This window comes from Homo sapiens, chromosome 17, assembly GCF_000001405.40.
Source record: "Homo sapiens chromosome 17, GRCh38.p14 Primary Assembly".
In the NCBI taxonomy this organism is placed as follows: Eukaryota; Metazoa; Chordata; class Mammalia; order Primates; family Hominidae; genus Homo; species Homo sapiens.
In genome coordinates, this window is record NC_000017.11 from 18,073,269 (window position 1) to 18,087,830 (window position 14,562).

Below are 14,562 nucleotides of genomic sequence, written 5' to 3' on the forward strand. Positions count from 1 at the left end.
ACGTTGCCCAGGATCTCTGCTTTCTTTTTTTTTTTTTTTTGAGACAGAGTCTTCCTGTGTCGCCCAGGCTGGAGTACAGTGGTGTGAGCTTAACTCACTGCAACCTGCACCTCCTGGGTTCAAGCGATTGTCCTGCCTCAGCCTCCTGAGTAGCTGGGATTACAGGTGCCCACCACAACGCCAAGCTAATTTTTGTATTTTTAGTAGAGATGGGGTTTCACCATGTTGGCCAGGCTGGTCTTGAACTCCTGATCTCGCAATTCGCCCACCTCAGCCTCCCAAAGTGCTGGGATTACAGGTGTGAGCCACTGCACCCGGCCCCCTGCTCATTTTTAAATCAGGTGCATTGTTTCATTGTTGCTGAATTGTAGGTGTTCTCTATATTTTCTAGATATTAATTCCTTATCAGATACATGCTTTGCAAATATTTTCTCCTATTATTCTGTGGGGTCTCTTTACCATCTCTTTTTTTTTTTTTTTTTTGAGACAGAGTCTCACTCTGTCGCCCGGGCTGGAGTGCAGTGGCACGATCTTGGCTCACTGCAACTTCTGCCTCTCAAGTTCAAGTGATTCTCTTGCTTCACCCTCCCGAGTAGCTGGGATTACAGATGCCTGCCACTACGCCCAGCTACTTTTTGTATTTTTAGTAGAGATGGGGTTTCACCATGTTGGCCAGGCTGGTCTCGAACTCCTGATCTCGCAATTTGCCCACCTCAGCCTCCCAAAGTGCTGGGATTACAGGCACGAGCCACCGTGCCCGGCGGCCTCTTCATGCTCTTGATAGTGCCTTAATGATGCACAAAAGTTTTTTTTTTTTTTTTTTTTTTTTTTGAGACGGAGTCTCGCTCGGTCGCCCAGGCTGGAGTGCAGTGCTATCTCAGCTCACTGCAAGCTCTGCCTCCTGGGTTCACACCATTCTCCTGCTTCAGCCTCCCAGTAGCTGGGACTACAGGCGCCCTCCACCACTCCTGGGTAATTTTTTTTTTTTTTGTATTTTTAGTAGAGACGGGGTTTCACCGTGTTAGCCAGGACGGTCTCGATCTCCTGACCTCGTGATCCGCCCACCTCAGCCTCCCAAAGTGTTAGGATTACAGGCGTGAGCCACCGCGCCTGGCAAAAGTTTTTCTTTTTGATATAATCCCATTTATCTATTTTTTTTTTCATTTTGTTGCCTGTACTTTTGGTGTCATATCCAAGGAACCATTGCCAAATTTTAATGAATTTCTAGGTAACCATTTATTATAAATTATAGTACAGCTATATAATGAAACACCTCTCAGCATTTCTTATAAAAAGAAATGTACTATAGCGATACAACACAGATGAATCTGGAAACATTATGCTGAGCAGAGGAATCTAGACACAGAAGACGATATGCTGTGTGATTCCGTTCAGATGAAGTTGTAGAAAAGATGAGTCTAACTGGTAGTGATAGAAAGCAGATGGGTGGCAGCCTGGGGCTGAGTTGGGGTGAGGACTGAGTGCGGGGGGGTGGTGGTTTCTGGAGTGATAGAGATGTTCTGTGTGTCAAATGTGGGGGTGGCTGCATCGCCCTATGCATTTGTCAGAACTCATTGAATTATGCACTGGAGAATGGTGTGTTTTATTGCAAGTAAATTATGCTTAAAAAAAAGTTGAATCAAAAATATTTTTAAAAACCATCCATTAATTCAGAAACAGTAGGGATGCATTGTACAAAACTAGAAAATTCAGACCAGCAAGAGAAGGAGTTTTGCTTACTTTTCCGAAGGGAGGTGTGACAGCATATTTGTATGCTGTTGAAAATGACACAGCAGAATGCAAAGTTCAAGCTGTAGGACAGGGATGGCTCAGGTAGAAGCACTGAGAGTTTGTTTCTGGGAACAAGCAGCCATGCCAATGCTGGCAAGTTGGAAGTTTGTGGAAGTTCTTGTCTCATTTCTTCAATGGTTCTTAGTGAGCTTGAGAGCAAGGTAGACAACCCTCCTGAGGATGAGGATAGGGGGAGAGGTATTGGGCCTTTGAGGAGAAAGAAGGCACGAGATGGTTGTCCAGGAGAGGAAGAGTGGATGGATGCGGAAGTCAAGCATGCCCCAAGCAAGCATGGGGATGTTCCCAACCCAGGTGCAGGTGCAGAGTAGGAAGAGGCCTGTGGTTTTGCAAGTACAGGTGAGTGAAGAGTCAGGGAGTTGTTGTGTGTGCAAGGGAGTGAAGTAAGTGAAGACCATGGAATTCAAGCTGGATACGGAGGGAGAGAGGACTTCAAGGGGATGAAGGTGGTAGCACCAATGGATTGGAGATCTTGGTGGGCTCAAAGGATGGATGGAATCAGAATTCTAGAAAATTGGGGCTGAACTTGGTGGCTCACACATCTATAATACTAGCACTTTGAGAGGCCAAGGTGGGAGGATCACTTGAGCCCAGAAGTTGGAGACCAGCCTGGGCAACATGGCAAAAACCCATCTCTACAAAAAATACAAAAATTAGCGAGGCATGGTGGTGCATGCCTGTAGTCACAGCTACCAGGGAGGCTGAGGCGGGAGGACCTCTTGAGCCCAGGAGGTGGAGGTTGCAGTGAGCTGAGATCACACCACTGCACTCCAGCCTGGGTGACAGAGTGAGACCCTGTCTCAACAACAACAACAAAATAATAAATAAAAATAGAAAGTTGGAAAGGGAGAAGCTTTCACATTCAAATTTGGTCAGACCTCTCTTTACCTTAAAAGTGTTCCTATTGCCCACAAGATCAAATCCAGACCCCTCAGGAGAACCTCAGGTGTGACCAGTCCTCTGTGACCTGTCCAGCATCCATCTGGCTTGCTGGAGATGCTGCCAGACCTGCAGAGCCCCCAGGCAGAGCCCACAGGAAATCCCCCCAGCCCTGCTCATTCCCACTTTTTGACCTTGGCCTGACTTACTCTCTAAGGGAACCATCTTCCCCAGAACATTTTTCCTGATGTTTCTGCCTGCACCATCCACTCTGTATTAGGGTCCACCATGCATGCTCCTGGACCCCATGCTGCTCATCTCTTTAGTGGGGAGGAATCTTACTCCATTAACTTTATTTTCCTTATCTCAAATCAGATTAACAGCCTGCATCGTGCCAAGGTTGCAGAAAATGACACCTGAGTGTTTCTTATTGGGACTCTCCCTTCACCTGGTCACAAAAGGGCCTCGTGTCAGTGTCTCAGGCTGTAGGTGCTGAAGCTCTGGAGAGATCCTTCTCATCTTTAGTCTCTCCAGTTACCATGCAAGGGCCCCTTGCCCAGACCCCTTTCCTTTCCCATCTAAATGGCAACTTCTACCACTCTTGGGGGCCAAGAATATTTGCCATTTCCCAAGACTAGGAACTCCTGGCCGGGCGCGGTGGCTCATGCCTGTAATCCCAACACTTTGGGAGGCCAAGGTGGGCGGATCACGAGGTCAGGAGATCGAGACCATCGTGGCTAACACAGTGAAACTCCGTCTCTACTAAAAATACAAAAAATTAGCCAGGTGTGGTGGTGGGCACCTGTAGTCCCAGCTACTCGGCAGGCTGAGGGAGGAGAATGAAGTGAACCTAGGAGGCAGAGCTTGCAGTGAGCTGAGATCACTGCACTCCAGCCTGGGGGACAGAGCAAGACTCTGTCTCAAAAAACCAAAACAAACAAACAAACAAAAAGACTAGGAACTCTGGGGCCTGGTCACCCTGGGTGTACCACAGAGCCATTCCCTGCTGCCACCTGAGGCCAATCATCCCTCCAATGCACCTAGAGAGGGCCCCCGTGCAATTGTCTCTGCCTAACCGTGTTCCATAAGGGCTGGGGCCTGAAGCTTCCTGTAAGAATGAAGACAGCATTTAGGAGGTCTACTGGCTTTGTTTTCTGGATTTCAGCCCAGAAGTTTTCTCTAAAACCCTCAGATGTTAACTCATCACAGAAGACACGACTAGGTTCAAAAGGACAAACAGCCCTACACACTACCCCAACTCCAGACGTCTGAGGTTACTGCAGCTTCAATAAAGTGTGCATCAATTAGAATTAAAATGCTCCTTTTTCCATCCTGGGTCACATGGCAAAACCCGGTCTCGGCCATGTGCAGTAGCTCGTGCCTATAATCCTAGCACTTTAGGACCAGGTGCCGTGGCTCAAGCCTATAATCCCAGCACTTTGAGAGGCCAAGGCGGGTGGATCTCTTGAGGTCAGGAATTCAAGACCAGCCTGGCCAACATGATAAAACTCCATCTCTACCAGAAATACACAATAGCCGGGCATGGTGGCGCACGCCTGTAATCCCAGCTACTCAGGAGGCTGAGGCAGGAGAATCGCTTGAACCCAGGAGGCGGAGGTTGCAGTGACCTGAGATTGCGCCACTGCACTCCAGCCTGGGCGACAGAGCAAGACTCTCTAAAAAAAGAAAAAAGAAAAAAAATATACAAATCCTAGCACTTTGGGAGGCCGAGGCAGGAGGATAACTTGAGCCCAGGAGTTTGAGACCAGCATGGGCAATGTAGTGAGACCCTGTCTCTATTTAAAACAAATAAACAACTGGGTGCTGTGGCTCACGCCTGTAATCCTAGCACTTTGGGAGACTGAGGCAGGTGGATCACAAGGTCAGGAGATCAAGACCATCCTGGCTAACACGGTGAAACCCCATCTCTACTAAAAATAAAAAAAATAAAAAACAATTATTTGGGCGTGGTGGCACGTGCCTGTAGTCCCAGCTACTTGGGAGGGTGAGGCAGGAGAATCGCTTGAACCCAGGAGGCAGAGGTTGCAGTGAGCCGAGATCGCGCCACTGCACTCCAGCCTGGGTGACAGAGTGAGACTCCATCTCAAAAAACAAACAAAACAAACAAACAAAACCCAGTCTCTACTAAAAATACAAAAATTAGCCAAGTGTGGTGGTGCATACCTGTATTCCCAGCTACTCAGGTGGCTGAGGTAGGAGTATTACTTGAGCCCAGGAGGTCGAGGCTGCAGATCGTGCCACTGCACTCCAGTCTGGGTGACAGAGCGAGACCCTGTCTCCAAAAAGCTCTTTTTCCTGGGTCAGAGTCAACCTTCAGAGAACACCCCATGCTGGGTAAAAATAAATATCTTCTTTCTTCTTTTTCTTTTCTTTTTTTTTTTTAAGACGGAGTTTTGCTCCTTGTTGCCCAGGCTGAAGTGCAATGGCGCAATCTCGGCTCACTGCAACCGCCACCTCCTGGGTTCAAGCAATTTTCTTGTCTCAGCTTCCCAAGTAGCTGGGGTCACAGGCGTGCACCACCATGCCCGGCTAATTTTGTATTTTTAGTAGAGATGGGGTTTCACCATGTTGGTCAGGCTGGTCTCCAACTCCTGACCTCAAGTGATCCACCCGCCTGGGCCTCCCAAAGTGCTGGGATTACAGTATCAGCCACTGTGTCCAGCAAAAATGAATGTTTTCATCACAGGTGCAACATGCTCCCCCACAGCCTGTCCCAACATGGTAGCCTGTACCTTTGGTGAATGTCCAGGCTTGGGGAAAAGGGGTGTCAATGGCACAGTGGCTCACACCTATAATTCCAGCACTTTGGGAGGCTGAGGCAGGTAGACTGCTTGAGGTCAGGAGTTCGAGAGCAGCCTGGCCAACATGGTGAAACCCCTCTCTACTAAAAATACAAAAATTAGCCAGGCATGGTGGCGCATGCCTGTAATCCTAGCTACTTGGAGGCTGAGGCAGGAGAATTGCTTGAACCCGGGAGGTGGAGGTTGCAGTGAGCGGAGATCGCAACACTGCACTCCAGACTGGGCAACAGAGCGAAACTCTGTCTCCAAAAAAAAAAGAGCCTGGCACAGTGGCTTGGGCTTGTGCTTGCAGTCCCAGCTACTCTGGAGGCTGAATTAGGAGGATCCCTTGAGCCCAGGAGTTTGAGGCTAGCCTGGCCAACATAGCAAGACCCAAGCTCCAAATAAGTAATAATAATAATAATGTGATGATTCTCACATACTCATTCTATCTTTTGCTGACTTCCTGTCTTTTTGTTCACTTATCTAGCTCTCCAGCCAAGCTCTGAGCTTCCTGAGGGCAGGGCTGCTGTCCCATTCATTTCTCTATCCAGAGGACACACGAGTTGTGCTCACCTGACACCAGCTGAGCAGCCAAACAGTTCCATTAGCCAATTCGATTTGAGCAGATTGGTGCACACTACTGTGCACCAGTATTGGGTCCCAGCTACTCGGGAGGCTGAGGTGGAAGGATCCCTTGAGCTGGAGAGGTGGATGTTGCAGTGAGCCAAGATCGCACCACTGCACTCCAGCTTGGGGGACTATGTGAGATGCTGTCTCAAAAGAAAGAAAAAAAAGAAAAGAAAAGAAAAAAAGGAAAAGAAACAAACAAAAGTCAAGAGACAAGCTTTGGTGAAACCTTGGGGAGGGAGGCAGTGAACTTGTTTGAAGACTACCTCTCCAAGTTCTATCTCTGGATGAAGAGTTTTAAGGGAAATTAGGGGAGTACAAATGATGATCAAGGCATTCTTATGAAACGCGCAGTCTCAGGCTGGCAGTTAAGTGTTAATTCCTTGGTCAATGTCTTGTGGCCATCTGCAGGCACCATCAAGCTGTTCTTATCAGGCTGGTCAGCCTGTTCCTAGAGTTGTTGGTCAGCGTATTTTCTTTTATGTCTATCGAAGGTCCTGTTTTCCTGAGGCTGTTTTTAATGAAAAATCTACAAACTCAAACAAAGCATAATTATATCAGGCAAACAAACTTTTCTCTAACATGGAGTCAGTACTGTTAAATAAATGAACAAATTTGAACAAGGAATACTGTCCCGGTTAGATAACTGTGATTATAAGTGAAGTCCAGATTTGCCCCTAGTTACTTTGCCAGAATTTCTTCTGAAATGCTTTACTTATTTATTTACTTTTGTTGTGGTAAAATAGATATAAATATACATGAAATTTACCATTTTAACCTTTTTTTTTTTTTGAGACGAAATTTTGCCCAGGCTGGAGTGCAATGGCGCAATCTCAGCTCACCATAACCTCTGCTTCCCGGGTTCAAGGGATTCTCCTGCCTCAGCCTCCTGAGTAGCTGGGATTACAGGCATGTGCCACCGTGTCCAGCTAATTTTGTATTTTTAGTAGAGATGGGGTTTCTCCATGTTGGTCAGGCTGGTCTCAAACTCCCGACCTCAGGTGATCCGCCCACCTCAGCCTCCCAAAGTGCTGGGATTATAGGCATGAGCCACTGTGCCCGGGCCATTATACCCACTTTTAAGGATATAGTTCAGTGGTATTAAGTACATTCGCATTGTTGCACAACAATCACCACCCTTTGTCTCCAGAACTTTTTCATCTTCCCAAACTGAAACTCTGCACCCATTAAACACTCACTCCCCAGGTATATTTTCCTTAGAGAAATTTCAATTCAAGCCCTTTGCCCATTTTTTAATTGGGTTGTTTTCAGATATGTGATTTGCAAATATTTTCTCCCACTCTGTGGGTTGCCTTTTCACTGTGTTGATAGTGTCTTTTTTTTTTTTTTTTTTTTTTTTTTTGAGACAGTCTCGTTCTGTTGCCCAGGCTGGAGTGCAGTGATGCAATCTTGGCTCACTGCAACCTCCACCTCTCGGGTTCAAGTGATTCTCCTGCCTCAGCCTCCCAAGTAGCTGAGACTACAGGCATGCACCACCACGCCCAGCTCTTTTTTTTTTGTATTTTTAGTAGAGACGGGGTTTCACCATGTTGGCCAGGCTGGTCTCAAACTCCTGACCTCAGGTGATCCGTCCACCTCAGCCTCCCAAAGTGCTGGGATTACAGGCATGAGCCACCGTGCCAGGCTGATAGTGTCTTTTGATGCACAAGCCAAATGTTTCTACGGTTCCGGTAGCAGCCTCTCCAGAAGCATTTAAACTCCACCTCAAGGGCTCATTGCACAGCATGCACACAAAGGCTTGTAGGTGGCCTTCCGGGTTAGGGTTTGGAGGGCCCAGACCTTCCAAGCAGGAGAGCCGGTTGCCTAGAGCAAGTCTGATGTGCGGTCATCTCCCTTGACCCTTGAAGTAGGCATGATTCTAACGTTACCTGAGAAGAACTGAGGCCCACAGGGATTTCATGGAAGCAGATACAACAGCAAAGATGCCAGGATTCTCAGAAGGTGAGTCATTTTCCAAAACTCTTCTGTTTCCCCAACTAAAAACTGGAAGTGAACCTGCCTTTGTGGGCACAAAGGTGGTGGTGAAGGAGGCTCCGAGAGCCACTGATGTAGAAGGTGGAGGCAGAGAGAGGACTTACAGGCCCCCAACCTGGGTCAGGGTTCTTCAGGCCTCCACATCTTCATGGGCCACCCAAGTTGTTCTCACCACTATAATCTTCTTTAAACCTTACAGAAACATCATACATTTATTTCCACCTACAGCCTACCATGTTACTTTGGAGTCACAGGACTTGGAATTGAAAGCCCTGGATTATCATCTCAGTCCTGCCATTGAATGGCTTGAGCACTGGGCCAGGCACTTTGCATAGCTCAAGACTTCACTTTGTAAAATGCAGATGAGAGTGGTAAGCTCAAAGTTTGCAAAAGCTCCTGTCTAGCCCAGAGCCTGGTGCATAGTAGATGCTTGATAAATAGGGGTTAAATCTGAGAAATTCCATGACATCCAGAGAGAAGAAACAATTTCCAATGGTTCTGGCATTCAACAACAACTTATCAGCAAGCAAACTACATGCCAGGTGCTCTACAGCCATTATCTTCTTCTTTTTTTTTTTTTTTCTGAGACAGAGTCTCGCTCTTGTGACCCAGCCTAGAGTGCAGTGGCGCAATCTCAGCTCACTGCAACCCCCGCCTCCCGGGTTCAAGCTTCTCCTACCTCAGCCTCCTGAGTGGCTGGGATCACAGGCGCCTGCCACCACGCCCGGCTAATTTTTGTACTTTTAGTAGAGACGGGGTTTTGCCATGTTGGTCAAGTTGGTCTCTAACTCCTGACCTCAGGTGATCCACCCATCTTGGCCTCCCAAAGTGCTGGGATTACAGGAGTGAGCCACCACACCTGGCCTCTTACTTCATTTTTATAACAACCACATTATTCCCACTTTTAGGATGTAGAAACAGGCTCAGAGAGGTTAAGACATTTAGCCAAGCTAGGCCAGGCACGGTGGCTCACGCCTGTAATCCCAGCACTTTGGGAGGCTGAGGTGGGCGGATCACGAGGTCAGGAGATCAAGACCATCCTGGCTAACACGGTGAAACCCCGTTCCTACTAAAAAAAATAATACAAAAAATTAGCTGGGCATGGTGGTGGGCGCCTGTAGTCCCAGCTACTCGGGAGGCTGAGGCAGGAGAATGGCGTGAACCCAGGAGGCGGAGCTTGCAGTGAGCCGAGATTGCTCCACTGCATTCCAGCCTGGGCAACAGAGCAAGACTCTTTCTCATTTAAAAAAAAGAAAGAAAGAAATTTAGCCAATCTCATACAGTTAGGAACCTGGAATGTGAACACAGGCGGTATGATTTTCAAGGACATGTTTCCTCCCCCCAACTTTTTATTAATAACATACAGAAAAGTTGGAAGAATGATTTAATAAACACCCACATACCCTCCCCCCAGTTTCAACAATTGTTAACATATTGGCACATTTACTTTACCCTGCTATCTCTAAATATATACATTCTTTGTTTGTTTGTTTGTTTGTTTGTTGTTTTGTTTTGTTTTTGATACAGAGTCTTGCTCTGTCTCCCAGGCTGGAGTGTGGTGGCACAATCTCGGCTCACTGCAACCTCCACCTCCCAGGTTCAAGCAATTCTTGTGCCTCAGCCTCCCGAGTAGCTGGGATTACAGGTGCCCACCACCACAACCGGCTAATTTTCATATTTTTAGTAGAGACGGGGTCTCACCATGTTGGCCAGGCTGGTCTTGAACTCCTGACCTCAAGTGATCCGCTCGCCTCAGCCACCCAAAGTGCTGGGATTACAGATGTGAGCCACCGCAGCAGCCCTACTTTGGTTTTTTTTTTTTTTGAGACAGAGCCTCTCTCTGTTGCCCAGGCTGGAGTGCAGTGGCGCAATCTCGGCTCACTGCAACCCCTGCCTCCCAGTTTCAAGCGATTCTCCTGTCTCAGCCTCTGGAGTAGCTGGGATTACAGGCATGAGCCACCATGCCTGGCTAATTTTTGTATTTTTAGTAGAGACGGGGTTTCTCCATGTTGGCCAGGCTGGTCTTGAACTCCTGATCTCAGGTGATCCACCCGCCTCAGCCTCCCAAAGTGCTGAGATTACAGGCGTGAGCCACCGTCCCCAGCCCCATATATACATACTTTGAACTAGTTGAGTAAGGTACAGATGTCACACCTACTATGGACTGAATGTTTGTGATGTGATGGTATTTGGAGTTGGGGCCTATGGGGGTAATTAGAGTTGGATGAGTTCATGGGGTAAGATACTGCTTATGATGGACATGGTGCCCTTGTAAGAAGGGACACCAGAGAGCTTGTCTCTCTGAGAGCATGCACTAAGGAAAGGGCATTTGAGGACACAGTGGCAAAGTAGCCCTCTGCAAAACAGGAAGAGAGCCCTCACCGGAGTGCAACTATGTTGGCATCCTGATCTCAGACTTCCAGCATCCAGAATGTGAGAAAATAAATGTCTGTTGTTTATGCCACTAAGTCCATGGTATGTCACACAGGCTGGAGTGCAGTGGCTCGATCTCGGCTCACTGCAAGCTCCGCTTCCCAGGTTCACACCATTCTCCTGCCTCAACCTCCTGAGTAGCTGGGACTACAGGCGCCTGCCACCACGCCTGGCTATTTTTTTCTTTTTTTGTATTTTTTAGTAGAGACAGGGTTTCACCGTGTTAGCCAGGATGGTGTCGATCTCCTGACCTCGTGATCTGCCCGCCTCAGCCTCCCAAAGTGCTGGGATTAAAGGCGTGAGCCACCGCGCCTGGCCCAAGTCCATGGTATTCTATGGCAGCCTGAGCCGACTAAGACAACCCCTAAATACTGCATGTACATCTGCTAAGAATAAAGACATTCGCTTACATCATCACACCAAGAAAATTGGTAAGCTCCAGAATATTCAATATCCAATTCGTAGTTAGATTTCTTCCAAATTGTCCTCAGAATGTTTTCTATTTATTCAAAATTTTTGTTTATTTATTTAATTTATTTTAGAGACAGCATCTCACTCTATGGCCCAGGCTGGTGTGCAGTGGTGTGATTATGGCTCACTGCAGCCTTTACCTTCTGGGCTCACGTGATCCTCTTGCCTCAGCCTTCTCAGTAATCAGGACTACAGGTACACACCACCACACCCAGCTTGGAATGTCTTTTTTTTTTTTTTTTTTTGAGATGGAGTTTCTCTCTTATTGCACAGGCTGGAATGCAGTGGCACAATCTTGGCTCATTGCAACCTCTGCCTCCCGGGTTCAAGCGATTCTCCTGCCTCAGCCCCCCAAGTAGCTGGGACTACAGGCGTGCGCCACCACGCCCAGCTAATTTTTTGTATTTTTGGTAGAGATGGGGTTTCACCGTGTTAGCCAGGATGGTCTCGATCTCCTGACCTCGTGATCCACCCGCCTTGGCCTCCCAAAGTGCTGGGATTACAGGCGTGAGCCACTGCACCCGGCCTCTAATTTTGTACTTTTAATAGAGATGGGGTTTCGCCATATTGGCCAGGCTGGTCTTGAACTCCTGACCTCAGGTGATCCACCCACCTGGGCCTCCCAAAATGATAGGATTACAGGTGTGAGCCTCTGCGCCTGGCCCAGAATGTCTTTTTATAGGTGCTTTTAAATTTTTCAACCAGAATTAACTGGCCATGGTAGCATGTGCCTGTAGTCCTAGCTACTTGGGAGGTTGAGGCTGGAGGATCACTTGAGCCCAGGAGTTCAAGGCTGCAGTCAGCCATGATCATAACACTACACTCCAGCCTGGGTGATAGAGAGACACCCCATCTCTAAAAAAAGAAAAATAGCCTGTAATCCCAGCACTTTGGGAGGCCGAGGCGGGCGGATCACGAGGTCAGGAGATTGAGACCATCCTGGCTAACATGGTGAAACCCCATCTCTACTAAAAATACAAAAAATTAGCCGGGCATGGTGGCAGGCGCCTGTAGTCCCAGCAACTCAGGAGGCTGAGGCAGGAGAATCGCTCGAACCCGGGAGGCGGAGGTTTGCAGTGAGCCGAGATTGTGCCACTGCACTCCAGCCTGGGCGACGGAGTGAGACTGCGTCTCAAAAAAAGAAAAAAAGATAGCCAGGCGCGGTGGCTCACGCCTGTAATCCCAGCACTTTGGGAGGCCAAGGCGGACGGATCACGAGGTCAGGAGATCGACACCATCCTGGCTAGCACGGTGAAACCCCGTCTCTACTAAAAATACAAAAAATTAGCCGGGTGTGGTGGCGGGCGCCTGTAGTCCCAGCTACTCGGGAGGCTGAGGCAGGAGAATGGCGTGAACCCGGGAGATGGAGCTTGCAGTGAGCCAAGATCGCGCCACTGCACTCCAGCCTGGGCAACAGAGAGAGACTCCGTCTCAAAAAAAAAAAAAAAGAAAAAAATATATAAATTTAAATAAAATAAAAATTTCAACCAGAATCTGGACAAGTTCCACACACGTAACATTTTTTCATTTAGAACAATCTCCCTACTTACCCCCTGGCCACTGTCATTGACAATTTTGATGAACCAAGGCCAATTGCCTTATAAAATGTTCCACTTTCTACATTTATCTGATGTTTCCTCATGCCTAAACTCAGTTACAGTATTTTTGGCAAGAATTCTACATAAGAGATGCTGTCAGCCAGATGAGGTGGCTCATGCCTGTAATCCTAGCACCTTGGGAGGCCGAGGTGGGAGGACTGCTTGAGACCAGGAGTTCAGGAGCAGCCTGGGCAACATAGTGAAACCCCATCTCTACAAAAAAAAATTTTTTTTAATTAGCCAGGCATGATGGTTCGGGCCTATAGTCACAATTACTCAGGAGGCTGAGGTGGGAGGATCACTTGAGCCTGGAAGGTTGAGGTTGCAGTGAGCTGTAGTCACGCCACTGCACTCTAGCCTAGGCAATAGAGGGAGAGCCTGTCTAAGAAAAAATGTCACGAGATGCTGTCTACTTTACACTGCTTCGTATCAGGAGGCATCTGATGGTAGGTGATCCTGAGTTGGAGTACTGCGTTAAGGTGGTATGGGGGGCAGGTGCAGTGGCTCATGCCTGTAATCTCAGAACTCTGGGAGGCCAAGGCTGGCAGATTCCTTGAGCTCAGAAGTTCAAGACCAGACTGGGCAACAATGGTGAAACTCCATCTCTACAACATAATACAAAAATCAGCCAGGCGCGGTGGCTGATTTTCTCCCAGACTGAGGAGGGAGGATCACCTGAGCCTGGGAGGTCGAGGCTGCAGTGAGCTGTGATCACGCCACTGCACACCAGCCTGGGTGATCAAGTGAGACCCTGTCTCAAAAAAAAAAAAAAAAAAAAAAAGGTGGTATGGGGATCCACTTTTTTTTTCTTGAGACAGGTTCTCGCTCTGTTGCCCATGCTGGAGTGCAGTGGCAGCATCTTGGGGATCCATTTTGAACCTCTTCAAGCTTGTCCCACCTGAGGTCTGCAGCCACATGTGGCCCAGGACCACTTTGAATGTGGCCAAACACAAATTCGTAAACTTTCTTAAAACATTATGAAATTTAGGCAGGGCACAGCGGCTCACGCCTGTAATCCCAGCACTTTGTGAGGCTGAGGCAGGCAGATCACTTGAGGTCAGGAGTTCGTGACCAGCCTGGCCAACATGGTGAAACCTCGTCTCTACTAAAAATACAAAAATTAGCCGAGTGTGGTGGCACGCGCCTGTAATCCCAACTACTTGGGAGGCTGAGGCAGGAGAATCACTTGAACCCAGGAGTCGGAGGTTGCGGTGAGCCAAGATCACACCACTGAACTACAGCCTGGATGACAAAGTGAGACTCCGTCTCAAAAAAACAAAACTAAAACAAAGAAAAAAAAACTGAGGTTTTTTGTTTGTTTGTTTTTTGAGATGGAGTTTCGCTCTTGTTGCCCAGGCTGGAGTGCAATGGCGCGCAATCTCCACTCACCGCAACCTCCGCCTCCCGGGTTCAAGCAATTCTCCTGCCTCAGCCTTCCCAGTAGCTGGGATTATAGGCGCGCGCCACCACGCCCGGCTAATTTTGTATTTTTAGTAGACATGGGTTTCTCCATGTTGGTCAGGCTGGTCTCGAACTCCCAACCTCAGGTGATCCGCCCGTCTCGGCCTTCCAAAGTGCTGGGATTACAGGCGTGAGCCACCGCGCCCGGCCAAAACATTGAGGGTTTTTTTGGCGATTTTTTTTTAAGCTCATCAGCTATCGTTAGTGTTGGTGTATTTTACGTGTGGCCCAAGACAATTCTTCCAATGTGGCCCAGAGAAGCCAAAAGATTGGACACCTCCATTTATAGTATAAAATGAAAGCCACTAGGCTTTCGGCTCAGCCCCTTTTCCTTACACTGCCAGTCAGCTGCGCTCAGGGACCCGCAGTTCAGAGTTCAACACGGGCAGATTCCCTCTCTTCCTTGCTTGCTCCTGCCAGCCGCAGCCGTGGGCCAGTACAGCATGGCCCGGCCCCGCCCCGGCTCTTTCCAGAGGTCCGCAGCC

General features: G+C 48.3%; 1 annotated feature.

Annotated features, from left to right (window-relative positions):
• Window positions 14,338–14,497: an enhancer, noted in NCBI's record as "active region_11824". NCBI's record gives its function as "activates an Ori minimal core promoter by ATAC-STARR-seq in GM12878 lymphoblastoid cells {active_cell/tissue: GM12878}" and the evidence as "EXISTENCE:reporter gene assay evidence [ECO:0000049][PMID:35858748]".